Source organism: Homo sapiens, chromosome 4 (assembly GCF_000001405.40).
Source record: "Homo sapiens chromosome 4, GRCh38.p14 Primary Assembly".
NCBI classification, from domain to species: Eukaryota; Metazoa; Chordata; class Mammalia; order Primates; family Hominidae; genus Homo; species Homo sapiens.
Genome location: NC_000004.12, coordinates 88,007,398 through 88,035,387, shown reverse-complemented (window position 1 = coordinate 88,035,387; position 27,990 = coordinate 88,007,398). Strand labels below are relative to the sequence as shown.

Genomic DNA, 27,990 nt, shown 5'->3' with positions numbered 1-27,990 from the left:
GAGTTCATCATCTCCTTCTTCCAGGATACTGATTGACACAGACATATCTGCTTCCCACCTACCAATCATATCTTGAATGGAACCCTATAACTCGAACTACATCCTTGCCATGGACATTTACTGATAATATTGAATGGTCTTGGAAGGAGGCGGGAAGATCCTTTGCAAGCTTAGTAGACCAAAGGAGATCAGGGTCTGATTCCTGGCCATGCTCCTTACTTGCTATGTGACCTGTGCAAGTTGCTTAAACTTTCTGAGCTTCAGTTTCCTCTTCAGTAAGATGGGGATAACCAACTATCCCATGGATTTTTTGGTGCCTAAATAAAAATAATAACTAAAATTTATCTAGTACAATGGCTGACACTTAACAAATGTTCAATAATGGTGGCTCTTCCTCCTTAACTGGATTGCTATAATGCATTTATTATAAATTTCAGCACTTTACCAAGTACTGTCTCATTCTGGACTTTAATGATTGCAGGTATAATATAATTCCTATAATTAGCTGATAAAAAGTTTCAAGGGGAAGGAAACATGTTCTATACATTTTTTAAACCACAGTTCTGAATACCCGTGATTAATACTTACCTGAACCTATAATAAATTTCAGGGATCATATTCAAACCTATAGAAATTATTTTGGGATTAAGTACTATTTAGTAAATCTCTCCTTCATGCAGCTCTCTTCCCCACTCTGCCTTTTTTTTTTTTTTTTTTTTGAGACGGAGTTTCACTGTTGTTGCCCAGTCTGGAGTGCAATGGAGTGATCTCGGCTCACTGCAACCTCCCCCTCCCAGGTTCAAGCGATTCTCCCACTTCAGCCTCCCAAGTAGCTGGGATTACAGGCATGTGCTACCATGCCCAGCTGATTTTTTATTTTTAGTAGAGACAGGGTTTCACCATGTTGGTCAGGTTGGTCTTGAACTCCAGACCTCAGGTGATGCTCCCACCTCAGCCTCCCAAAGTGCTGGGATTACAGGTGTGAACCACCACACCTGGCCCCTCTTTCCCTTTCAAGCATCATAGGAAATTAAGATTATTTAAGGAGAAGGGTAGATAATAATGATCCAAACACGAGTGTGTTTGGGGGTTCATCTCAAGCAATCAATTACAGAGTAAATACACATAATACACACAACTTGTATACTGTATCTAGAGATGTATGAATAATTTCCAGGCCCCCTGGTTTGGCTCCCTCACCTGTCATCTTATAACCTAATGTAATTAGGACAAGAACAGTCCTCTTCAGGTGTTATATGACTTACTACCTCTCAGAACTGTCTTGGGGCAGAGTTAAGAGTTTAGAATTCTAATCCATTCATATTTATGGAACAAGGTATTGGGCATGAAGATGAACAAGACGTGATCTCTGCACTCAAGAAGAGGAGTTCATAGTGTCCCCAGGGAGAGTGCTGCCTAGCCAACTCCCACAAAGGATGCAAAGGATGGACATGAGTACACTGTCCTCTGCAAAAGCCGTCTGTAAGTCTATAGCCAATCGAGGACAGAAAGAAACATGACACAAGAGCAAGCAGTGAAGGCTGCTCAGAGCCAACCAAATGATTAAGTTGATTATTTTCAGTTAACTTGGAATTGGAATGTACTTTGCATTGACTGATTAATATAGACTGTTGTGGAGTTTTTAACCTGTGGGTTTACTGTGGTTGTTGCTGTTAAAAAGGAATTTTGATAAATTATTTATATATTTTTATTTACAAATATGGTATAACTATATATAAGTATGTAAATTGAAAATTTATCTCTTTATTTTCCTAGAGCACTCATAATCCAGTATTGATTTTTGCTTTTGAAATTCTCAAGATCTGTATTGGCTTTAATAGCTTCACCAAGGGCAAGCAACAGATTCCCTTGGTTATGTAGCACCATCTGCTGGACAGACAGGTAAATAATGCCTTCCAGCTTTGAAGGGAAGATTATTGTAACTTTTTTTTTTTTTTTTTGAGATAAGGTCTGGCTCTATGGCCAAGGCTGGAGTGCAGTGGCACCATCTCAGCTCACTGCAGCTTCAATCTCATGGGCTCATGTGATCCTCCCACCTCAGCTTCCTGAGTACCTGGGACTACAGGCATGCATCACCATGGCCAGCTAATTTTCAAATTTTTTGTAGAGACGGGGTTTCGCCATGCTGCCCAGGCTGGTCTCAAACTTGTGAGCTCAAGTGATCCTCCCTGCTCGGCCTCCCAAAGTGCTGGGATTACGGTCGTGAGCCACCGCGCCCAGCCTGTAACAGATATTTAATCAGCAAACATTAACTCAGTCCTTCTCCTGTGCCAGGTCCCAGGAAAGTCCATGGCACACCTGAATGACAGCTCTACAAACTCTGGTGGTCAGCTACACCAAGAGCCCATGCAGGTGGCAGCTAAAAGACTCCTGAATTTGGAGTCATAATGATTTGGTTTTGAGTTTCAGCTTGCCTCCATCCTGAACATCTGCCTCTGTTCATGATTGTGGGTCTTGCATCTTGAGATCCTGGACAACTATTTAACTCCTCTAAGCCTGATTTTGGAATCTAGACAATGAGAATAATACTAAGGGCTTTTGTAAAGCTCAAATGGGGAAATATATGTGAAGACATCTGCACACTGTAAAATGCAATGGAAATATAAAACTGTTAACATCACTTCTCCTTTAAGTCCCTGAAAGGAAAACTGGAGAAAGCCCACTTGGAAGGTAGCATTCACTCTCTAAATGAAATGAATTGTGAAGAAAAATTTACTGCATGAAATAGATAACCTTAAATGAGGACCAGAAAGGAGACAAGAGTACTAAAAAACATATAAAGGACACATACATCTGTACATATGTACACATCTTTCTTCTGCTATTTAATCCTTGTCTTAACCACTGAATTCCCATTTTCCATAAAATAAACTAGAACAAAATACAGTAAACCACAGTATCGGCCAAAGTGCTGGGCTCAAACGATCTGCCCACCTCGGCCTCCGAAAGTGCTGAGATTACAGGTGTGAGCCATCGTGCCTGGCCGATACTGGTGCCTTAACAACCACCAACCTGCCTTAAAAACATGGTCTATCATTTCAAAATAGCAACAAATACTATTTTATTCTTAATAATGTTGAAAAATATAGGTTCAAATATTGAAAACAAATAAAGGGTATTGTAGAATAGTATATATTACATAAATTTCAAATCACTAGGATAAAAGAAAGCAAAGAAAAAATTTCCAGTCTAACAAAAGAATAGAAATGGAAAATAACAGGAAAATATAAAAGAGAGGAAAATACTAAATAATAGAAATTTGACAAAAAAGCATGAACTGTGAATGGTTTAGACTCTTACTAAATCACAAAGCTTTAAATCTTGGTTAAAAAATAAAAACGCATCTCTAGAATTGTTATAAGAAAACCACTCAAAGCTAAAATTATCAGGAACAAAATATTTTTTAAAAGGTTTTAAGTGGTATTATAATCCTCTGACAGAGGACATTATAAGGTGAATACTCAGTTTGATAAAAAGGTTATTTTACATTGGTAAATTATACTATACATGATGATTCAACTGTAATGAATTCTTATGTATTGAATAACAGAACATCAAAATATACAGAGCAATACCTGTTAGTAATAAAACAATTACCAAAACTACAATTACAGTTGGAAACTTAAAACCCTGTATCTTTCAATCTTTGACAGAGAAAGTAGACAAAAATTACCTAGGAATATTAAGGGTTTGAATTAAATATATGACTTGACATAGATATATATATCTGTTAAGAAATTAAATTTTTTCCCTCTCTTAATAACCCTTGGGCCAAAGAAGAAATCAGAGCTGCCATAAAAATATAACTGTACTAGATATATAAAGACAGTAGAACTAAGATGCCTTGGCCACAGTATTCCAGGTAATCTGCCACAAGATGAAGCCATCACTTTGCACAGGAAAACTAACTGTTTTGTTAGCTGTATAACTTATGGTATCCTCACAGGGATGCAGTGGAAATAAAATACAAACAAACATTTGAAGGGACTCTATAAATTAAAAGTGCTATACAAGATGATCCTTGACTTATAGTAGAGTTACATCCTGATAAACTCATTGTAAATTGAAAATATCATAAGTTGAAAATGCATTTAATATACCTAACCTACTGAATGAGCAACACAGCTTAGCCTGGCCTACCTTAAACATGTTTAGAATACTTACATTAGGCTAGTTGGGCAAAACCATCTGGCAATACAATACACTGTAGAGTATTGGTCGCTTACCCTCATAATCACATGGCTGACTGGGATCTGTGGCTCTATCTTTAGAGTATGGTAGCCTGGAAAAAGACCAAAATTCAAAATTGAAAGTGTGGTTTCTATAGAATGTGTATCACTTTCACATCACCATGAAGTTGAAAAATCATAAATCGAACCATCGTAAGTTGGGGACCATCAGTATATAAATGCAAAGCACTATACCCAAATCAAGGAATTATTAGGCTTGAACTGATTAAGTGGACATACTACAGGAAATTCTGTGTGTTAGTAAATGAGAAGTCCTAGTGAACAAGAAATGGAAACAGGCCATGTTGTCAACATTTCGTGAGACTCTCCAGGTGTCGGCACTGAGAGGTGCACAGCTGCATCCCATCCCTGCAAGGGCGGTGAACGCATGAGCTGGTCTGGTCTGACAACCCTGTGTGAAGAGGTGGGCCCGAATGGCAGCACAACTCGAAGGAGGGGGCCGGTTCGGGTGGGCACCACTAAGCTTCTCCCTGGATCTGGTCCTTGAGTTGATTTTGAAGGATGAGGAGGAATTAGAATGACAGAAAGGACAGTGTACGCTGAGGCTTTTTGAGATCACAAGTGGTTTGATGTGGTTGAAGAACCAGATATTTATAGGGAATGGCAGTTCTGAAGAAGTAAAGATCGTTTAAGTAAAATGCCAGCCTATTATCTAAAGATTTTAAAGTTTATCTTGACGTTGAGATAGCATGTTAAATGGAAGAGTGATCCCAGCACTTTGGGAAGATGTTGCAGGAGGATCGCTTGAGCCCAAGAGTTCAAGAACAGCCTGGGCAGCAAAATGAGACCTCATTTCTACAACAAATAAAATTAGCTGGGTGGTAGGTGCCTGTGGTCCCAACTACATGGGAGGCTGAGGCAGGAGGATCTCTTGAGCCCCCAAGCTGCAGTGAGCTGTGTTCATGCCACTGCACCCCAGCCTGGGTGACAGAGTGAGACCCTGTCTCAAATAAATACATAAATAAATAAATGGAAGACTGACTTGTATTAATCTGGTTCCAGAAACAGCAGCTCTTGGAAATTCTAAAAAGTCCAGACACAGGGAGAGTAGCTTCCATCTAATCTGTGGTTCATATTTCGAGGCCTCTTAAAACTTAAAGGAATCTTGTCACTTTCATACTTAAACCATGGGGTGTCCTACTGTAAATCCCTCACCAAGGCCCACCAAAACTACAGGTCTGGCCCCTGGTCACCTTTCCATCTTCATTTGATGATCTGCTCTCCAGGAACTGGCTTCACTTGGCTTCTAAGTGATTCTGGAATGATCTGAGTGTTTTCCTGCCTCAGAGCCTTCATTCATACAATTCTCTCTTCGTCTGACTCGTTTTCATTCTTGCTTCAGGCTTCACAGAGGCCTTCCTTGAGGGAAATCCTTTTCCCCAGTCATCTCCTTTCATATCACTTATCACATTTAAGGTCAGGGCCTAAATCTGTTTTTAATTAAATTACTGACCAACTTAAGGAATGAATAAGTCAGGAAATAGATGATTAGGATTAAAATAGGGACAAGAGCGATATAGGAAAGAAGACAGATTAGAGAGCCTCTGATGAGGCAGAATGATCACAGAAGACTGGGAAGGGAAAGCATCTAGGATGACACCCAAGTGTTCAGGTGAACTAGAGAGCATGGCTGGATAGATGGGTGGGAGATGAGTTCAGGCTGGGGCATGTTACCAATGAGAGAGGCCTGTGAGAGATCCCATTGTAGATGTCCAGCAGAAGCTGGTACTAGGTTCAGAGCTCATGAGTGGGACGTGGAGTCACTGGCACGCAAGTACTAGTTGAAGCATTATTTGTGGAAAAGATGACCTAAAGAACGTCACAGGCCCAATCAGAGAAAACACTGTGTAAACATGCTTCAGAAAGAAGAAAGCGAAGCAAGTGAACACAGCAAGGAGGAACACAGGAAGAGAGGGAGTTATCAAAGACAAAGAGGGAAGTCCTAGAATGCCAAATGCCACTGGACCAAATGCCAGGAAGAGGCTGAAAAGAGCCATCCCCCGTGACCTTGGTGAGGGCTTTTTAGGAGGCAGAAGTGAGGCTGCAGAATCAATAAGAGAGTTTGTGAAATACAGTCACTAAAACCCCCAAATCTTTTAATCCAGGTTTGGTCAACATTTCAAAGAAAATAGTAAGTAACAATTTTAAAATTGTGAGGAAAATCTTTAAGGGGTAAAGGCTGTTGACACAAGTGCTTTTGAGAATGGTAGTATTGGCTAGTATTATTTTGTTTTAAAAGTGAGAGAAAGATGTATAATATTTATATACAGACAATCTTGGATATATGATGGTTCAACTTACTGATTTTTTTACTTTAAAATGGTGCAAAAGTGATAAGCATTCAGTAGAAACTGTACTTAGAATTTTGAATTTTGATCTTTTCCTAGGCTAGTGATAGGCAGTTTGATGCCCTTGCAATGCTGGGCAGTGGCAGTAAGCTCAGCCACACAATAGCAAGGGTAAATAAACAACCAATACTCTACAGTGTACTGTGTTGCCAGCATTTTTGGATATTGTGTCTTGTGTTTTCACAACCCATTTTGGTCACATTTAAAGTACATTTATACATCTTCTATTTCTTGTCATTTTAAAATTGAGTTTTTGTCCAGTCAATTTATCAGAAAGGGCGAGGAGCCCTCCAGTCATAGTTGAAGGCTTAATAGTTACTTCTCATGGATTGCAACATGTGATCTTAAGACTGAAACTGTTTGTGGTGAAAAGATATGTGGTGAGCAATCAAGACGTTTTTCACTGGAAATGGAATTAGCCTGCAGCTGCTGTGAGATTAACTCACTGACCTTTACTTCACTGATCTTGTTATCAACTCGATCTTCATGGATTCTCTGGCAAATTAGGAAAACTATATTTAGACTAGCATCCTTGTAAGATTTTTACAAGTAAAATAAAATATTCCTTTCTTTTTCAGAATACAAGGCAAAGTTGCTTTCTTTCAGAGATAAACAAATGGAAATACATAGATCTCTTCTTAAAAGGGCTCTTCCTGTCCTAGTACATACACCATATTGTACTATGATTTTGTTGTTCGTTTCTCCATTTTCATTACTTCTTTGGATACTACTGAGTTTAAAGTTACACACTTTCTGTAGTAGTCCATTTTCATACTGCTATAAAGAACTGCCTGAGAATAGGCAGGAAGAGGTTTAATTGACTCACAGTTCTGAATGGCTGGGGAGACCTCAGGAAACTTACAATCATGGCAGAAGGCAAAGGAGAAGCAAGTACCTTCTTCACAAGGCAGTAGGAGAGAGAGGGAAAAGGGGGAAGCCCAGACACTTACCAAAAAACCAGATCTCATGAGAACTCCCTCACTATCATGCAAACAGCATGGGGGAAACTGCCCCTATGATTCAGTCACCTCCCATCAGGTCCCTCCCTTGACACATGGGGATTACAATTGGAGATGAGATTTGGGTGGAGACACAGAGTCAAACCATATCATTCTACCCCTGGCCCCTCCAAAATCTCATGTCCTTCTCACATTTCAAAACCAAATACGCCTTCCCAACAGAACCCCAATGTCTTAATTCGTTCCAACATTAACTCAAAAGTTCAAGTCCAAAGTCTCATCTGAGACAAGGCAAGTCCCTTCTGCCTGAGTCTGTAAAATCAAAAGCAAGTTAGTTACTTCCAAGATACAATGGGGGTACAGGCATTGGGTATATGTTCCCATTCCAAATAGGAGAAATTGGCCAAAACAAAGGGGTCACAGGCCCCATTCAAGTCTGAAACTCGACAGGGCATTCATTAAATCTTAGATCTCCAAAATCTCCTTTGATCCCCTGTCTCCATGCTAATGCAAGGGGTGGGCTCCCATGGCCTTGGACAGCTCCACCTCTGTGGCTCTGCAGGGTACAGCCCCTGCAGCTGCTTTCACAGGCTGGCATTGAGTGCCTGCAGCTTTTCTAAGCGCAGAGTGCAATCTGTTGGTGGATCTACCATTCTGGAGTCTGGAGGATGGTGGTCCTTTTCTCACAGCTCCATGAGGCAGTGCCCCAGTGGGGACTCTGTGTGGGAGCTCCAACCCCACATTTCCCCCCTGCATTGCCCTAGCAGAGGTTCTCCATAAGGCTCTGCCCCTGCAGCAGACTTCTGCCTGGACATCGAGGTGTTTCCATACATCCTCTGAAATCTAGGCAGCGGCTTCCAAAGCTCAACTTTTGTCTTCTGTGCACCCAAAGACCCAACACCACATGGAAGCTGCTAATGCTTGGGATTTGTACCCTCTGAAGCAATGGTCCAGCTGTACCTTGGCTCCTTTTAACCACAGCTGGAGCTGGAGTGGCTGGAACACAGGGTGCCATGTCCCAAGGCTGCACAGAACAGCTGGGGCCTGGGCCTGGGCCTGGCTCACACCATTTTTCCCTTCTAGGCCTCCAGGCTTGTGTTGTGAGGGTCTGCCCTGAAGATTTTCTGAAACGCCCTGGAGACATTTACCCCATTGTCTTGGCAACTCACATTCAGCTCCTCGTTACTTATGCAAATTTCTCCAGCCAGCTTGAATTTCTCCCCAGAAAATGGGTTTTTCTTTTCTACCACATGGTCAGGCTGCAAACTCCCTAAACTTTTGTTGCACTCTGCTTCCCCTTTAAACATAAGTTCCAATTTCAAACCATCTCTTTGTGAGCACATATAACTGTATGCTTTCAGGAAAAGCCAGGTCACCTCTCGAATGCTTTGGTGCTTAGAAATATCTTCTGCCAGATACTCTAAATCATGTCTCTCAAGTTCAAAGTTCCACAGATCTCTAGGGCAGGGGAAAAATGCTGCCAGTCTCTTCGCTAAAACATGTAAGAGTGACGTTTACTCCAGTTCCCAATAAGTTCCTCATCTCCACCTGAGACCATCTCAGCCTGGACTTCATTGTCCATATCACTATCAGTGTATTGGTCAAAGCCATTCAACAAGTCTCTAGGAAATTCCAAACTTTCCCACATCTTCCTGTCTTCTTCTGAGCCCTCCAAACTGTTCCAATTGCTGCCTGTTACCCAGTTCCAGAGTCGCTTCCATATCTTCAGGTTATTTTTTATAGCAGTACCCCACTCCTGGTACCAAGTCTCTGTATTAGACCATTTTCACACTTCTATAAAAAACTGCCTGAGACTCGGTAATTTATAAAGGAAAGAGGTTTAATTGACTTACAGTTCCAAATGGCTGGGAAGGCCTCAGGAAACTTATAATCATGGTGGAAGGCAAAGGAGAAGGAAGTACCTTCTTCACAAGGCAGCAGGAGAGAGAAAAAGAAGGGGTAAGTGACAGACACCTACCAAACAACCAGATTTCATGAGAACTCACTCACTATCATGAGAACAGCAGAGGGGAAACCATCCCCATGATCCAATCATCTCCTACCAGGAACCTCCGTCAATACACGGGGATTACAATTGGAGATGAGATCTGGGTGGCAACACAGAGTCAAACCACATCACTTTTGTATTTGAATAAATTTTATTTATTTTTCTTTTCTTTTCTTTTTTTTTTTTTTGAGACAGGGTCTTGCTCTGTCACCCAGGCTGGAGTGCAGTGGCATGACCACAGCTCACTGCAGTCTCCATCTTCCAGACTCAAGTCATCCTCTTGCCTCAGCCTCCTGAGTAGCTGGGACTACAGGCATGTGCCACCATGCCTGGCTAATTTTTATTTTTTTACTTTTTTGACACAAGGTCTCACTGTGTAGCTCAGGCTGGAGTGCAGTGGTCTAATCATAGCTCACTGCAGCCTCAAGCAGTTCTCCTGCCTCAGGCTCCCAAGTAATTGGGACTACAGGTGTGCGTCACCATGCCTGGCTAATTTTAAAATTTTTAATAGAGACAAAGTCTTGCTATGTTGCCCAGGCTGGCCTTGAACTCCTGGCCTCAATTGATCCTCTCACCTTGGCTTCCTAGAGTACTGGGATTATAAGCATGAGCCACTGTGCCTGCCCATGGATTCTTTTTCTATTCTTTTCTTTTCTTTTTCTGAGACAGAGTCTCGTTCTGTCGCCCAGGCTGGAATGCAGTGGTGCGAACTTGGCTCACTGCAACCTCCACCTCCCGGGTTTAAGGGTTTAAGCAATTCCCTGCCTCAGCCTCCCAAGTAGCTGGGATTACAGGCACCTGCCACCACGCCTGGCTAGTTTTTGTATTTTTAGTAGAGATGGGGTTTCACCATCTTGGCCGGGCTGGTCTTGAACTCCTGACCTCGTGATCCACCCTCCTCGGCCTCCCAAAGTGCTGGAATTACAGGCATGAGCCACTGTGCTTGGCCTATTTTTTCTACTCTATAAAATATTTATGGAAGTCTACTGCTTTTCTCAGTGATTTTTGAGTTTCAAATGTGTTAAAATATTAACCCTTTGTGATGTTTCTTATAATCATTCTTTGTAATTGCTTTCTGCTTTTTAATGTTGTCTATTTCTTTGACATACAGAAATATTATGTTTCTACAATGTTGACTCAGCTAACTTTTGTGATTTCTATTAATGTGTTTAAACTATATATAGATTTTTTACTCAATTTTATAGAATGAGAGCACAGAAAAAGGAAATGACAAATACATTTTTATTATTATAGATTCACCAAATACCTTCCTTGCATTTTTTCCTTTTTTTTTCTTTCCTTCCTTCCTTCTTTCTTTCTTTTTTTTTTTTTTTTTTTTTTTTTCGAGACAGAGTGTTGCTCTATTGCCCAGGCTGGAGTGCAGTGGTACAATCTTGGCTCACTGCAACCTCTGCTTCCCAGGTTCAAGTGATTCTTGTGCTTCAGCCTCCTAAGTAGCTGGGATTACAGGTGCATGCCAACATACCCGGCTAATTTTTGTATATCTTGTAGAGACGAGGTCTCGCCAAGTTGCCCAGGCTGGTCTTGAACTCGTGACCTCAAGTGATCTGCCTGCCTCGGCCTCCCAAAGTGCTGAGATTACAGGCATGAGCCACCGTACCCAGACACTGTTTTCAAAGATCTTCTAAATATTCTTTATTCCTTTCTTGAACTTCAACACCTAACTCACACAATAGCAATACTATTGCTATTTATAACAGTAACCCATGTATATTAATAAGTGCTTTAATGGTGAATTCATAGCAACTCTCAGGTTTTGAGTAGGAATAAATCCTAAATAACAGAGAAAGTGAGATTACTTAATTCTCATGTCATTTCTGTTCTCTTGGTTAAGTAGACTGATTTTAAAAACACAGGGCACATAACCTCATTGGTAAGATGGAAAATAAGCTCTTGGTGAGCAGTTAGCTGCTCCAAATGAATCTGAGTCTAGGCTCAAATAATTAGAAACTATAGCTCTTAGAACTGAGATAATTCTGCCATTCTCAACAATCTTTGGCAAGAATAACTTCTTACTACTACTACTGTATGACAGACAGCATCCTAGGATCTTTTCATGTATTATTTCTAATCTTCACAATGATATTTCCAAATACTTGTTTTACCAGTGAGGAAACAAAGGCTTAGAAATGTTAATTAACTTGCCCACATTTACCTAGCATGTTAGCAGTGAAGCTGGGATTTTAACTCAGGTCTGTCTGATGCAAAAAAAATCTGTACTTTTCTTACTGTGCCAAACTGCTTTTTAAAACCCTACCTACTATGCAAGGTGATATAGTTTGGATGTTGTCCCCATCCAAATCTCATGTTGAAACATAATCCCCAATGCTGAAGGCGGGGCCTGGTACGAGGTGATCAGATCATGGGGGTGGATTTCTCAGGAATTTAGTACCATCCTCTTGGTACTGTCCTTGAGGTAACGAGTGATTTCTCATGCGATCTGGTCATTTAAAAGTGTGGGGCTTCTTCCCTGCCCCATTCTCTCTCTCTTGCTCCTGCTTTTGCCACATGATGTGCAAGCTCCTGCTTCACCTTCTGCCATGAGTAACAGCTTCCTGAGGCCTCCCCAGAAGCAGATGCTGGAGCTATGCTTCCCTTACAGCCTGCAGAACCATGAGGCAAATAAATCTCTTTTCTTTCTTTTTCTTTTCTATTTATTTATTTATTTTATTTATTTATTCATTTATTTATTTTTTGAGACAGGGTCTTGCTCTGTCGCCCAGGCTGGATGGAGTGCAGTGTTGCAATCATGGCTCACTGCAATCACTGACTCCCAGCTTCAAACAATTTTCCCACCTCAGCCTCCTGGGTGGCTGGGACTACAGGTGCATGCCACCATGCCCAGATAATTTTTGTATTTTTTGCAGAGAGGGGGTTTCACCTTGTTGTCCAGGCTAAGTTTGAACTCTTGGCTCACCATTACACCTGCTTCAGCCTGACAAAGTGCTGAGATTACAGGCCTGATCCACAGTGCCTGGCCAAACCTCTTTTTTTATAAATTACCCAGTCTCAGGTATTTAGGGCAATGCAAGAACAGCCTAATACTTAAGCCATAGGGGTAAGTACACTATCTCATTTACATACAGAGTAATGAGTTTGATATTCTTGGTCATTTGATATTGACATTGCTGGCAAGATTTTAAAACTAGTAATTAAAAAGATAGCTGGTAAGCAATAGGGAAAGGACTCAGTCACTAGAAGCCAGTAAGGTTTTGCTAGGAGTAAATCTTGCCTGGTTATTCTCACTTCCTTTTTAATCTGGTCAACAGCTCACAGATCACAGGAATGGGGGAATTACTCAGACAGGCATTTGGAAAAGTCTTTCCTATCATCTTGTTTATGAACACTCTGAGCTGGATGATAATATAATGAAGTGAACTCCAACCAAAGAGCCTTGATTAATGGACTGATGTTCTTAGACCAATCTTTTTTAGTTTAATAATTTACAAGGATATGGATAGAGATAATAACTCTGCTGATACTGTGAGGCTTCGGGGAGTAGCTGATGTGAGATGAATGAATCCAGTTCCAAGATAATTTCAACAGAATGGAAAAATGGGCAGATCCTAACAAGATGAAATTTAACAGGGTTGAAAGAGGAGTCCTCCACTATGGTCCCAGGCTAGCTCACATACAGCTGGGGGACACAGTGCTTCACAGTTTTTGGTGAAGAGACTAAGGAATTATTTATATGATGAAACAGCCTCATGAGTCTGGCCATGGTAGGTTGCACAAGCCACAGTGTAGTGTCTGGTTTAGGAATCTCATGGCCCCACTCACCATGGTGAGGCTCATGTGCTTTCTTAGGGACTCTGATGAACAGAACATTCACCAGAGGGACTTTCCATCATGGGAGTTACTCAAACTTGTGTCTCCAATCACATAATCAACAGCTGGATGAACTGGAAAGGCTTAACCTGGAGAAGGCTTAGAGGAGATTAGGTATTTGTCTCCAAACTTGCGAAGAGCTGAATTGGAAAAGCAACGTGGAAAAAAGATACTTGGTATAGGTAGGCTTGGAGGGTGCAACTGGGTAGAAGTTATAAGAGATAGACTCTGGCTTCACTGCTAAGGACGAACTTTCTAACATAGCTGTAGAAAAATGAAATGAACGATTTCAAAGAAGTAAGTCCCTTAACCTGGGACTCTTGTTCAATCAGAGGCAGTATGAGTAACCATCTGAGACGGATGTTTTAAAGAGAATTTAGCATTCAGTGAGGTCAGACCATATGACTGCTAAGATACTTTCTTAAGTAGAGATTCTACAATATTCCAAAAACAAAATTTTTAAATATATAGCTACTCACATAAGAAATAAAATGTGATTTGCATGAAAAAGAACAAAAAGCGACAATATTCTCAAATAAACAAGAAAACCAATTCATTATGTGACTTTAGGCATATTTCCTAAAACTCTGTCTTCAGCTTACTTCTCTGACTTACCTTCCAAATTTATCACTACATCTGAAAACTCGTTTCTCTAGGCTACATTATGGAGGCTCTGTTAGTAGATCTCGGAAAACCACATATGTATTTTAAAATCAGAGTGATTCTAATGCTCAGTCAGTTTTGGGGACTGCTGAAATTCTAGACTTACGTACAGGGGTTACCTTCTATTTTGCATAAGAAATTTGTCTGTATATGTAAAGCTTGAAAAGAACTTAGTAATTCTAATCAACTTGTTAATATTTAAGGCCACTGCAGTTTAATGTTTAAGCATCATTTTAATGCAGGCAGCAAACTCAATCTCAAGTTTCTAAACTCTAACAATTTAAAACATAAAAATATCACATCCAGGCTGGGTGCAGTGGCTCATGCCTATAATCCCAGAACTTCCAAGGCAGGAGGATCACTTGAAGCTAGGAGCTGGAGACCAGTATAGGCAGCAAAGTGAGACCCCACCTCTACAAAAATGTTTTAAAAGTTAGCTGGGCATGGTGGTGTGCAGCTGTAGTCCCAGCTACGTGGGTGACTGAGGTGGGAGGATCACTGAAGCCTAGGAGCTCGAGGCTGCAGTGAGCTATGATTGTGCCACTGCACTCCGGCCTGTGAAACAGATCAAGACTCTGTCTCTAATTTAAAAAAAAAAAAAAAAAAGGAAACCTTTTCTCAGAGGAGTTTGGTAGGAGGCTCTGGGGTCATAAAACTGCTTCCTCATCTGTTCTCGTGAAGACTTTAGATGAGACATGACAGAAATCCATCATCGAACGCCCTTTGATTCAGAGGACAAATCCATCACCTGTGGCTTTCTGGACTTTGAGACAAATGGTTCCTACAGCTAGTCTCTCGCTCAGGCATCCCTCCCCTCCCCCTACCAGAGGATGGGAAGACGAACTGAAAGAAGGAAAGAAGACGAAAGAGATGGGCCTATAGCAAGTTTCTTGTGGAGTAAAAGTCCAGCAATTATTAAAGATTGAGAAGAAATAATGAATTAAAATGAGGCAATGACACAACATATCCAAATCCAAAAGAAGGGGATATTACATGTATACGCCAATAAAAGCAATATTAGTAGCATTATTTGTATTTCCTGAAAGTTAAATTTGGAAAGTCATTTTTCTGGAAACAATTCTTATGCAGACTTTATGTTAACTGATATAATAATAGTATGACAATAATGATGATACTGTAATAATGGTGATACTGTATTCATTGTTAAGGAATCTAATACAAAAATCCTCTAACTTGGTTTCTTGGTGTCTGGCAAGTTGCCACGCGTATCTCATAGTGAAAATCACCACCACTGACGATGAACTGGCTGGTCAGATAATGCTGATTTTTAATTAATGTTTACCAGAGTGCAGAAGAGAACTTGACCAAATTCTAAATTGGAATTGAACTCTTTGCCTCTCCCGTCCTGTGTTAAACGCAAGTCCACAGTCACTTAGCATTTGGTCACAATTTAGTCACAATTAGAAAAATTCTTTCTTATATATTTTTCAGAGCCTTCTGTTGCCATCTGCAGTTTTGGGAAATGGGGGTACAGCAGAGAACAAATCACGTCCCTTCTCTTATAAAGCTTGCATTCTACCATAGGAAGATAGTCAATAAACAAATGCCCAAATAAAAATATTAGAATTAAAAACAAAGGTAAGAAGGTAACTTCCCAGTTGCCCCTCTGGTGCATACACACTTCCTTTTAATTATGATTTGGATAGGTCAAATCTTTTCAAAACTTTCCCATTAGTGCAAGGAAATATTCTACTTACAGATGCACAAGACTATGAGAAAAAGGAGGTATGTGACCAGTTCCCGTAAAACACTTTTAAGGTATTTCTCTCGGTTAGTGCTGCTTTCCTCCATGAGTCTTGTTCCCCAGAGACCTTTAAAATAATAATGAAGAAAAGAAAAGATATCATTTTATTTAAGAAATCTCATGAATGGCAAAAGGGAAAATAAAGCACAAATTAAAAAGTTCACCTATAAGGGAGATTCTCCTTTTTTTTTTTTTAATCACATTTTGAATGCAACTGAGAAACTGGTTTTGTAGGCCTACCTTTTATTTAAGAGTACATCTGGCTCCAATGTTACCCCAAACATGCAAAACATAAGGCAACAATTCTGATCATTTTATAGGCTCCCAAGCCCATTAGCAATATCTTAGTCAAATTTTAAAAAGAGAACAGGAAATAAGGAAGGCCTAACAGAGGAGTTAAATAATTGTGCAAAACTTATCAGTTCTTCCTATTTGAGGTGGATACAACCTTGTAATTATCCTACTACTAAACCCAGTTAAGAACATGATGTAATTATATTTCAAGTAATAACTTTTAGGTCACCCCTGATGAAAAGAAGTCCTTGTTGGAGAATCACTTCAATATAGAAACATGTTATGCTTCTAACCTACTGGCATAAAAACTCTGCTCTGTAAGAGCAGAAGCTGTCCTATTAAAAAACTCCATGGTGACTGATTACACTAAGCGTGCTTAGCTGAGCAGATTTTTAAAACAGCAATTAACATATAATCTTTAAAAGCAGCAACTCATCCATGTTCCCTCTCTTTCTTTGTAGAAAGAGTAGAATCAACAACCATGTTCTACATTTTAGCAGATGGAAAAAGCGTTGGGCTGGCTGAGTGAAGATGACGTAACCCTCCATGAGCTTGCTGGAGAGAGTGACCGCAGTTTTGGACTCAGCCAGCAGCAGACATGGTGGCCATCCAAAGCCCCGTTAATGAACAGTGTGGTAAAGTCACATTGCTGGTTACTTGGAAGAACCTTAACACTTTCCAAAAAAGACAAACCTCTCAATCCTTTCAGTTAGATTAGGTTGGCTGTTAAATGGAAACCAACCTGGTCCTTGCATGTTGTCTCATGCTTTGATTCCACAGACCTTAACTCCTTCAATAATGGAAACTCACACAGCCACTTTCGCCACAATCAAGCCACATAGGGAAATGGGAAAAAATAGCATAAGGCCTTTTACTTCGAAGAAATGAGTTCATCATTAGTGTTCATGTATTTTTTAAGTCTTATAATAATATGTAAGTTCTATTCCTGAATTTGGGTATTTCCTTTCCTTTTCTTTTTTCCTTCCAAATGTCCTTTAGGAAAATCAGCACTGAATTCAAAAACACTGTGTTACGCATCATACGTTTCACCAGCACTGAGAGTGGAGCATAACTTATGACCAACTTTGCTTCTGCCAAGATCTGGTAGTTGTCAGGGAATTACTCACTCAGAAGAAATGCAGCAAGCAGAATGTTTGTTCACTGAAACACTATCATATTAAAGAATTATTACAAATTTAGATGACATGGAAAATTACAACTTAGAATAACACAGAGGCAGCCAAAGATTAGGCTCGGTAGCCCTGGACACAAATACATCACTTCTTTGGGTAAATTTATTTTGGAGGCCAGGCCTAAAATATATGTCAATAGAGACTGCTAGTCTCTTTACTCCCAGGGAAGACTGTTACCCTGTCTCATTTGGTCAATGATTTCATTCTTTCCCATGGTTTATAAACAACTAGGCACTAAGGAACAGCCATGATTCTTAATATTTATACGTGGTATTGCTTGGCCTATAAATAGAAAAAAACAAACTCCTATCAAATTTTCTTCAAGCTAGGCTGGGTGCAGTGGCTCAAGCCTATAATCCCAGCACTTTGGGAGGGTGAGGCGGGTAGATCACTTGAGGTCAGGAGTTCAAGACCAGTCTGGCCAACATGGTGAAACCCTGTCTCTACTAAAAATACAAAACTTAGCCAGGTGTGGTGGCGGGCGCCTGTAATCCCAGCTACATGGGAGGCTGAGGCAGAAGAATCGGTTGAACCCGGGAGACAGAGGTTGCAGTGAGCCAAAATCACACCACTGCACTCCAGCCTGGGTGACAGAGTGAGACTCCATCTTGAAAAAATAATAATATTCAAGCTAAACTTGTGATGGCCTACGGCAATTTAATTCTAGCCTTTGAATGAAACATTGCAAATGGAAAGAAACAAGTCTTCTTATGTATGTATGTATGTACGTATGTATGTATGTATGTATGAATTTATTTATCTTGAGGCAGGGTCTCTCTCTGTTACCCAGCCTGGAGTGTAGTGGTACGATCACAGCTCACTGAAGGCTTGATCTCCTGGGCTCAAGCCATCCTTCCGCCTCATTTTTTGATTTTTTGCAGAGATGAGGTCTCAATACGTTGCCCAGGCTGGTCTCGAATTCTCGGCCTCAAGTGATCCTCCTGCTTCAGCCTCCCAAAGTGCTGGGATTACAGGCATGCCACTGCACTTGGCCTCCCTTATTTATATTTTTATATGATATACATCCATATATTTTCTTTCTTTTTTTCTGTCTCTGTTTTTTTTTTTGTTTGAGACAGAGTCTCACTCTATCACCCAGGCTGGAGTACTCTGGCACAATCATGGCCCACTGCAGCCTTGACCACCCGGGCTCAAACAATCCTCCTGCCTCAGCTCAGCCTCCCAAGTTTCTTAAACTACAGGTACATACTACCAAGCCCAACTAAGTTTTTAATTTTTTGTAGAGGTGGGGTCTCACTACATTGCCTAGGCTGGCCTCAAACTCCTGAGCTCAAGCAATCCTCTCACCTTGGCCTCTCAAAGTGCTGGGATTACAGATGTGAGCCACTGTGCTTGGCCCTGTGTATTTTCTTTTTCTAAATTACTCTATCTACTTCCTCAAATATTTACTGCTTTAAATTTTTCATCTCATTTTCCCATTGGGTGTGTATGTAGGACCAATCTTAGGGTACAGGGACCTTTTACATCCTGGTGGGTGAGAAATAGTTGCATCTACAAGTAGGAAAAATAGCTGTCCTGCAGCCAACTATTCTCCATGTTTGGCAGAGCTGATAGGATAAGAATGGTTAAGGATGGAATCATGTGCAAATTGGTGACACTCTTCAAAATCAACTGTTGTCTTTCCCATAGCTGTTCTAGTTGTGGTGGGAGTTAACTTCCCAGCATTGAAGGTATTCAATGTTTCCAGGTGTTAGGGAGAACACGGACTGAGAGTATAGACCCAATTTCCTTTAAGAGGGTGCTTAGCTAATGCCAGAATGCAAAGCCAGAGTACATCATCTAAAGCAGGGTCCCCAGTCCCCAGGCTGCAGACGGGTACTGGTCCATGGCCTGTTAGGAACCGGGCCCCACAGCAGGAGGTGAGCCGCAGGCAAGTGAGCATTACCGCCCGAGCTCCGCCTCCTGTCAGATCAGGGGTGGCATTAGATTCTCACAGGAGTGAGAACCCTATTGTGAACTGCGCATGTGAAGAATCTAGATTGCCTGCTCCTTATGAGAATCTCACTAATGCCTGATGATCTGAGGTGGAACAGTTTCATCCCCAAACACTTCCTACCCCAGGTCTGTGGAAAAATTGTCTTCCATGAAGCCGGTCCCTGGTGCCAAAAAGGTTGGGGACTGCTGATCTAAACAGTGCATTCCTCTGCTCAATGTTACTTATTAATAGGAACACTGGGGAACTCTGTAATGGAGAACTCCAAGCACAAAAGATATTCCAAACATAAATAATTGGCTTTGAACAAAAATGCCATTTCCCCAACTATTTTATCTAAATCCTTTCAAAAACTTTTTATTGGCTGGGCACACTGGCTCACGCCTGTAATCCCAGCACTCTGGGAGGCCGAGGTGGGTGGATCACCTGAGGTCAGGAGTTTGAGACCAGCCTATCTAACATGGTGAAACCTCCTCTCTACTAAAAATACAAAAGTTAGCTGGGTGTGGTGGTGAGCTACTCGGGAGGCTGTAGTCCCAGCTACTCGGGAGGCTGAGGCAGGAGAATCGCTTGAACCCGGGAGGCGGAGGCTACAGTGAGCCGAGATCACACCACTGCACTCCAACCTGGGCAAAAGAGTGAAACTCCGTCTAAATAAATAAATAACTACAACTTTTTATTTTAGAAAATATCAGAAATATCACAAAGAGAGAATATTATAATGATAAATCTATCACCTAGATCCAACAATATCAACTCAATGCCAATCCTAGTTCATTTACATCCTCACCCATCTGATGCCACTGCTGATATGATAGGGGGTAGCAATGCTCACTAGCCTGCTGCTCACCTCCTGCTCTGCGGCCCAGTTCCTAACAGGCCATGGACCAGTACCACCCCAATTATTTTGGAATTAATTCCAGCTATTGTATCACTTCATCTGTAAATATTTCAGTTCCATGGTTAAAAGGTTAATTGTGTATCTTTCACCTCACACTAACCTTCCCCATCTGAAATACATGAAACCCATATGGCCTATTATCAAGGCATGGTGCAACATAGGGCTCTGGAGTCAAATGACATTAAACTGAGGGCTTAACCACTTGGGAGCTGAGAAAGCTTACCTGACATCATGAGCCTCCACTTCCTCATCTAAAAATGGAGTAAGAGTACCTTTTTGTGGGGTTGTTCTGGGAAACAGAAATATTATTTGTGGAGCACTTAGAGTGCTTGGAAGAGGCCTGTCTGTAGCTTCAGAAACAAGCCCAGATCTGCAAAATGGCCTTAGGAGGCCCAGTTGGTCCAGATTCCAGAGTGGTATAAAGACTCAAATCCATCTGAACTATCAGTTCATTGTGATAGCCTGACCAAATTCTCAGTGCATTTGTATCATAAAAGAATCCTCTTTTTGTGCTAAGATACATGTGAGTCTTGTTTAGAAGAATGAACACAATCCTTCCTAGTATTCACTTGAATTGCAGGGACACTTTTAGAAAGGGAAGTGGCTTTTTATCTATATTTGTCCATTTTCTATAGAATAGACAGTTGCTACCTTAAGTAATATTGACTCCAGAATCTTGAATTTTTTTTTTTTTTTAGAGACAGTGTCTTGCTATGTTGCCCAGGCTGATCTCGGATTCCCAGGCTCAAGCAATCCTCCCGCCCCAGTCTCTTAAGCAGCTGGGATTAAAGGCGTGTGCCACCGTGCCTGGCCTGAATCCTGAATTCTTAATCAGCCATCTCCTGAGGTGCAGACAAGTATATGTTACAGTTAACATGTAGTTCTACCTGCATATTCTCTAGACAGCTCACACTCACCTCCCGCAAAATTTGCTTTTCTTTCTCTGGAAATCTCCTCTTTCTGTTTGGGTTAATGGTACCATGCCAGAAATTTGGGTTTCACCCTAGAATAGGCCCTCTTCTTATCCCTCCCATGGAGTTGGTTCCACAGTTCTGATGGTTTTTGTTTCCTTTCTATCTAGCTTCTTTCCATCCCAGCTCATATGCCTTAGTTCCAGCCCTCGTCACCCCTCCTCCTCTTGGTCAGCCCTCTCCTGACCTAGTCTGTCAGCCACCAGCCTACCCACCTCACCCTATCCTCTACGTTGTTCCAAGAGTCATCTTCAGATTGACAAATGATCATATCAGCCCCCTAGGCTTGAAGCCCACACTGGCTCCAAATGTCTACAGGAAAACGTGCCCATTCCATGGTGGGAGTTACAGGTTTGCTGTAACAGGAACAGGTCTTGTTCCTATTATTTTTCCCTCCTTGTATTCCCCTCTCATTCTTCAAAATGAAGCTCAAGTTTTACTCCCTCTGGAAACCTTCTCTGACCTCTCCAGGTAAATCTGATCCTCTCTTTTTTTTTTTTTTAGATACAGGCTCTCACCTCTCACTGTGTCACCCAGGCTGGAGTGCAGTGGCGTGATCACAGCTCACTGCAGCCTCAATCTCCCAGGCTCAGGTGATTCTCCCACCTCAAACTCCCAAATAACTGGGACCACAGGCATGTGCCACCCTGCCTGGCTAATTTTTGTATTTTTTGCCACTCACTATGTTGCCCAGGGTAGCCTTGAACTGCTGGGCTTAAGTGATCCTCCCATCTCAGCTTCCCAAAGTGTTGGGACTATAGGCATGAGCGGCTGTGCCTGGCCTTATCCTCTCTTTGCTGGAATCCTCCCATATCTGGGACCTGGCATTGCAATGACTTACTTATACCTCTGTTTTCCCTACTAAACCCTGAGCTCCTTGAAGGTCGAGACCTTGTATTATTCATCTCTGCATCCCTAGTACCTATCACAAAAGAAAGTCCCATGAATGTTTTTTACTGCATGAATTCTGTTACTGGCACAACCTTACCACAACCCCAAAGGGTAGCAAGCCTCCCTCAAAAAAATCCCCAGAGTAATGAAAATACAAAGTCTGCTTGTTCAAAATTATGGTGCGAATAAAAAAGGAAAGGGAGGAAGTGATGGAGTAAAGTTCAGATTAAAAATAAACGGAAAGTCACAACAGTCGAAAGGTGGAAAAAAACCGCAAATGCCCATGAACTGATGAATGGATAAACAAAATTTGGTGTGTGTGTATATATGTGTACAAACTTCCTTTTTATGATGAAATAGTATTTCATTGTGTGTGCACATGTACACACACAATTAAATAGTATTTCGTCATAAAAAAGAAGGGAATTTGCACGCATGGATAAACCTTGAAAATACTATGCTAAGTGAATAAGCCAGACACAAAAGATCAAACATGGTCTGATTTCACTTACATCAGGTAGCTACAACAGGGAGACTCACAGAAAGGGGAAGTAGAATGGAGGTTACTAGCGTCTGGGGCAAGGGGGAGTGGGGAAACAGGGAGTTACTGTTTAATGAGTACAGAGTTTCTGTTTGGGATGATAAAAAAGTTCTGGAAATAAATTGTGTTAAGTCCATTTACATAATATAATAAATCTACCTAATGTCACTCAATTATATACTTAAAATGGTTAAAATGGCCAATTTTATGTTATGTATATTTCACACCAATTTAAAAAAAATAGAGAGGCAGGCTCTCCCACTCCCTAGATCAATTAGAATTCTGGATACACGGACTGTGTTGGTATGATTATCCTGCATGTCCTAATAAATAAATGTTCATAAACTGAAGAGATGCAGACAATTGCTGGCTAAAGTTAGGTTTGGGCACTACTGGCATATAGCACAGTGGATGAGAAACACTTTGAACACAAAGTGCCTGGAATTAAATCCTGACTGCAACATCTAATAGTTGCGGCCCTGGGCAAGTCATTTAACCTTTAGAAGGCTTAGTGCCCTCAACAGTAAAGTGGTGACGGATGAGAGTTCTTTCTTCACAGGTTGTTGTGAGGATAAAAACAAAACTATGAATATAAGGAGTTTAACACAGTGCCTGGCACACTGTGAGCAATAAACCATTATTTCCTTTTGAATTTAACAGTCTAGGGCAGGGTTTCTCAAAGTCCTCACTCCTGGCAATTTGGGTGGGAGAATGCTTTGTAGTGTGTGTGTGTGGGGTGGCTGTACTGTGCATTGTAGATTAGCAGCATCCTTAACCTCAACCCAGGAGATGCCAGGGGCATCCCCCCAGGTATGACAATCAAAAATGTCTCCAGAGATTGCCAAATGTCCCCTGAGGGGCAAAACTGCCCCTCCCCCCCCCCCCCATTGAAAACCTGTAATTTAGGATAAAGCTCTGCTCGTGATGACATAAGACTAAGTTCTGAAGCCTCAAGACAGGCTAAATTCATCAGTCACTGTGCATAGACTATCATGAACAGCAACTAAGAGCGGTGAGTTGGATGTTTGCAGTTTCTGTGTGGTAGCATCAACCAAAGCCATGTTCAAATCTTTTTTTAAGTCTCAATAACCTTTCCAATAACTAATTATGCTTCCCTTTAGACATCGAAAGGGAAGGCAGAAAAAATAAAAATTACATAAAGTATGGCAAAATGAAATAACTGCATTGGAGGTCACTTATTAAATACAATCAGCACACCAATTTCAATGTCAAGATCCAATTATTTTAGGAGAAATAAGAGTCGACTTATTATTTCATTCATTATTCCAGGTATTCAACCTGGAATACCCTCTCTAAAATGTTACACGAGCAAAAAATTAACTTCTTGTTCTTCAGGGTATTGAAGGGGAGGGAGGTATCTGTTTTAGCAGCTTAGCCCACCCTGACTTGCACAGCTAGTACTTCATAGTTTCTCTAGGAAAAAAAAAAAAAAGCCCAAGAATATACGCCTAAAATAACAAACAGGAACTGACTTTAACAGGTTGATACATTCAGAAAAACATTCAACTTCTGAAATTCAGAAAATTTTATGACTCAGAGTGCCATATTTTATCTTTGTACTAAAAAGAATTTGCTAAGAAAAGAATAAACAAATACTTGAGGATACTTTTAAATCTGGGCTTCATCTTTAAATCTTTCGGTCATCCTTGGCTTCCTTTGGTCCAGGCCCTCTTCACCTCCTTACTGGCTGCCTCCCACAGGTCTTCTTGCCTCCTTTCTCTCTGCCAAGCTCTCCTGTACACCATGCTGCTGACACAATTTCCTTTCAGCATGTTCTGTTCCTGCTCAGAAACTTTCAACTCCTTCCTAATATTTAGGGCTACATTCTCAATTCCTTGATTAGATACAATGCATACAGCAAACAGGCCTCAACAGGCCTCAAACATGTCTTCTTTCTTTACTATTTTACTTCTGCTAAGAAGATAGATCTATTTACTGTAGAAGGAGCAAAATCGACCATTTGTTGTCCATCTTGGATTCATGTCATTAAACAACAGACCAGAGCATGGTGAAGCTAGAAAGGACCTTGGAAGCTAGGTTCAATTCTTCCATTTTATAAATGAGGAGCTCAGGCTCAGGTAGTTTGAGGGAGCTATACAAAGTCACAAAGGCAAGAGACTTCCAGGGAAACTCCTGACCACTCCAAACTTCAGTCATTTCTCCCACCTTTAAAAATTGCAAGTTACTTTCTGTTCTGATCCTAGGGCACTGCTTACATAGTGCATATAAGATTTCTGTCATCAGTATCCAAAGGGGGCAGGGGGAATCTCAACCCATTCATGGCTATTTATTTTACATTTCTGGGTTTTTGTCCATAGGAAAACAGTGATATGCTATTCTAGTTTATTCATAGCAGCTAGCACAGTGCTATCTTCACAGTAGGTGCTAAACATTTTAAAATGTTGCTTATTTAATAAGTGACAAGAATATCAATTATATTTCTTCATAAAAGAAAGGAATAACAATTTATTTAAACATTTTATATAATTAAAACTTTTCAGCTAGGAGCAGCAGCTTGCACCTGTAATCCCAACTACTTGGGAAGCTGAGGTGGGAGGGCAGCTTGAGCCCAGGAGTTTGAGGCCGCAGTGAGCTACGTTTGCTTCCCCGCACTCCAGCCTCAGTGACAGAGTGAAACCCCGACTCTTAAAAAAAAAAAAAAAATTCCCGATTCCTGAGTCTGCTCTCCTACAAATCAGACCATTGACACACTTTGGCTAGAGGTTTTATGACTATGAGCTTATTCATTTTGTTTCCTGAAATTTTCCTTTAAAAGAAATAAATTTACATACATACTCATATGAAATATATATTTTATTTCTCTATATTCTGTTATTGAGTTTATTCAAACAAGGTTAGGGGTGTTATCAAATGCTTAAACTGAGTTAAAAGGATCATGCAACTTACCATTATTTATTAACTTAAAAGGAACTTCTCTCTCACTTCAGTGAATATTTTTTAAATGCACATTTTAAATGGTGTAAAATAACATAATTAATCCAGTTTTGAATCTTAAAAAGTGTTAGTGTTTTATTAATTTACTCACACAGGTTATCCGAAAAGGATCTTCTGTTCCCCATCATGCTTTTAATAAAATTAACTAGTATAAGAATCTCCATAAACGAAGTACCAAAATGTTTACATTTATATTTCTGAAGCGCTAATAACATGACAAATACATGCTGCACATTTTATGTCTTAACTCACTTAATTCTCCCAAAGAGTCAAGTCCTAAGCGTTATGATCATCTCTTTAAAAAAAAAAAAAATCCAAAAATTGGGTATCAGAGAGGATAAGTAACTTGCTCAAGGTCGTACAGCTAATGAGTGGTGGAACTGGGATTTCAGTGTAGGCCTGACCTGGTTTTAATCACACTGCTGTAACAACACCTGGATTGTTTTTGTGCAAGACTTTCAAAACTGACAGAAGGAGAAGAACAAGAAAAACTCAACTGAGAATGGAAACTCTTAAAAATATAGATTAAAATAATTTGGAGGGTAAAAGCAAATGAAATACTTTCCCAAGGATACCTCTGACAAAATTTGTAAAAAGAGAATTTCCTCTGGTACTAGAAAATTCATGTCCTCTTACTGGGCACTGGCAAATTTGAAAATTCCTCTTCTGCCTTTTGTAGAGCTGGGCGCACTGGGCTCAGACACATTTATCAGCTGCTATCTGGTGACTTCATCATTTTGGTGGAATTTCAAAGAACATTAATTTAGTTATTTAAAAACATACTTCAAATTTTTTTAAAACAATGTAATCTTTCCTTTGCAACTGTTTTTAGAAAAATGTCTAGAATTAGAAACGGCCAAATAACTTCACGATATTATTTTATTCTATTTGTGGTGTTCTTAACAGCTCCCACTCCTCAAAACAACCACACACATCACCAAAAAAATGCACCAATGACAATCTGCCACACTCCTCCCACAACTTGACATTATATGCACTGTACTGCTACCCTTTTCAGCCCGGGACAATGGAGTGTCCAGGCAAGAAGGAAACCACGGGTGACTATAACATTTTCCTTTAGATTTTGTGACATTGGCAAATATGCAGTTGCAACTACCATCAGTTACACAAGTAATGTTCATTTTTTCCTCTACAAGAAAAAAAAAAACAAAACCCAGATGTACTCTTTCACTCTAATTAGGCTTTCACTAATTTTCAGTAAAAAAGACTATGGTGACATATCCTGAAGAAGGAGGTATCCAATAAATATGCACCAACAAAAGAGCAGTGGAATTCCGCGCTGGGTACCGGAAATAGGGCAGCACTAGCGGAGGTGGGGAATGCGCTTCCAAGGGAGGCGGAACGCAGAGGGGATGCGAGATGGAGCCCGGGGAGCTGCCGCAGCGGGCGATGGCCCCGGCCGGCGCCGGCCGTTCTGGTTCGTGCATCTGCCGCTGCGGGTCGCGCGCTCTTACCTCGCAGCCCGCGAACCAGCCTCTCCGCCCAGGCCACTCGGGGCGGCTGCCCTTCCAGGGGGAGGTGGCGATGCAGCGGGTCCCCGCCGCCGACTGGGCTGGGGCACGGCGGGCCCTGGTCCTCTCGCCGGCGCCGCCTCCCGCTCGGGTGGCCCGCGCCGTGGTAGCCCCCAAGCCCCCGGCTCCGCGCGCCCACGGAGCTCACGGCCGAGGAGGCGGCCGACCTCCGGCTGCCCGGGCGCCACTCTACGTCCATCTCCACCACCATTCCGCCTTCTTCCCCTTCCACCTCCTCCTCCTCCTCCTCGGCCTCGAAGCCGGGGTTATCGCGGCTCCACGCCTGCCGGGAGCACGACGAGAGCGGAGGAGAAGGGGAGGCCGCGGCTCCGGCCGGGGGGTCCCGCGCGGCCGCCTGCCGGATGCGCTGCATCTCGATCTCCAGGCCCCGCTGCTCGCAGAGGCCGCCCGGGGCGGCGAGGCTGGCGCCCACGGCCGCGCAGCCAGCCATCAGCCGGCCCGGGTCCGGCGCGCGGGGCGCGGGCGGCCGCTTGGCGTCCCCGGGCTGCTGAGGCTGCACGCGACTGGAGTTCACCATCGCGGTCACTGGCGTCCGGCGCGCGGGTGCGCGGCGCCGCGCTCGGCGCTGTGCGCCTCAGGAGCCATGTTCCTTTCTTCCCGGCGCCCGCCGCCGCCTGCTCCCCGCCCCCGACCTCCCCGCGGTCCCGCGTCCTCTCGCCCGCCCCTTTGGCCCGCCTCCCTCTGGCCTCGCCCCGCCTCGCCCATCCGCCGCGGCGCGCTGAGCGGGGAGGTGCGAGGGAGCCGCCCCCGCGGTCTGCGCGCTCGCCCGGCGGCTCCCGAGTCCGCGTTCCAAGTGGAACCGGAGCCCGGGCGCGGGCGCCCACGTTCCATTCCCGGGAAGGCCTGGGAAGGG

General features: G+C 42.0%; 1 protein-coding gene across 4 annotated transcripts in view, besides 3 other annotated features; it reads right to left on the bottom strand.

Annotated features, from left to right (window-relative positions):
• PKD2 (polycystin 2, transient receptor potential cation channel) overlaps positions 1–27,753 on the bottom strand; it is a 70,143-nt gene extending 42,390 nt beyond the window's left edge. For 3 of the 4 annotated variants that reach the window (NR_156488.2, NM_000297.4, NM_001440544.1), the window contains exons 1-2: positions 27,060–27,753; positions 15,817–15,930 (exon numbers count right to left, since the gene is read on the bottom strand). Coding sequence is in view for 2 of the 4 variants with exons in the window: in NM_000297.4 (NP_000288.1) it covers positions 15,817–15,930; positions 27,060–27,654 (709 nt within the window). In the remaining 2 variants the exon portion in view is untranslated. Of the gene's footprint in view, positions 1–4,247; positions 4,304–15,816; positions 15,931–27,059 lie in introns of those variants that run through there. The other variant, XM_011532029.2, reaches the window with a different exon arrangement.
• Positions 1,777–2,071: a silencer, noted in NCBI's record as "tiled region #5607; HepG2 Repressive DNase unmatched - State 12:CtcfO". NCBI's record gives its function as "represses a minimal TATA promoter and a strong SV40 promoter by Sharpr-MPRA in HepG2 cells {active_cell/tissue: HepG2}" and the evidence as "EXISTENCE:reporter gene assay evidence [ECO:0000049][PMID:27701403]".
• Positions 26,871–27,010: a silencer, noted in NCBI's record as "silent region_15560". NCBI's record gives its function as "represses an Ori minimal core promoter by ATAC-STARR-seq in GM12878 lymphoblastoid cells {active_cell/tissue: GM12878}" and the evidence as "EXISTENCE:reporter gene assay evidence [ECO:0000049][PMID:35858748]".
• Positions 27,061–27,990: a silencer, noted in NCBI's record as "silent region_15559". NCBI's record gives its function as "represses an Ori minimal core promoter by ATAC-STARR-seq in GM12878 lymphoblastoid cells {active_cell/tissue: GM12878}" and the evidence as "EXISTENCE:reporter gene assay evidence [ECO:0000049][PMID:35858748]".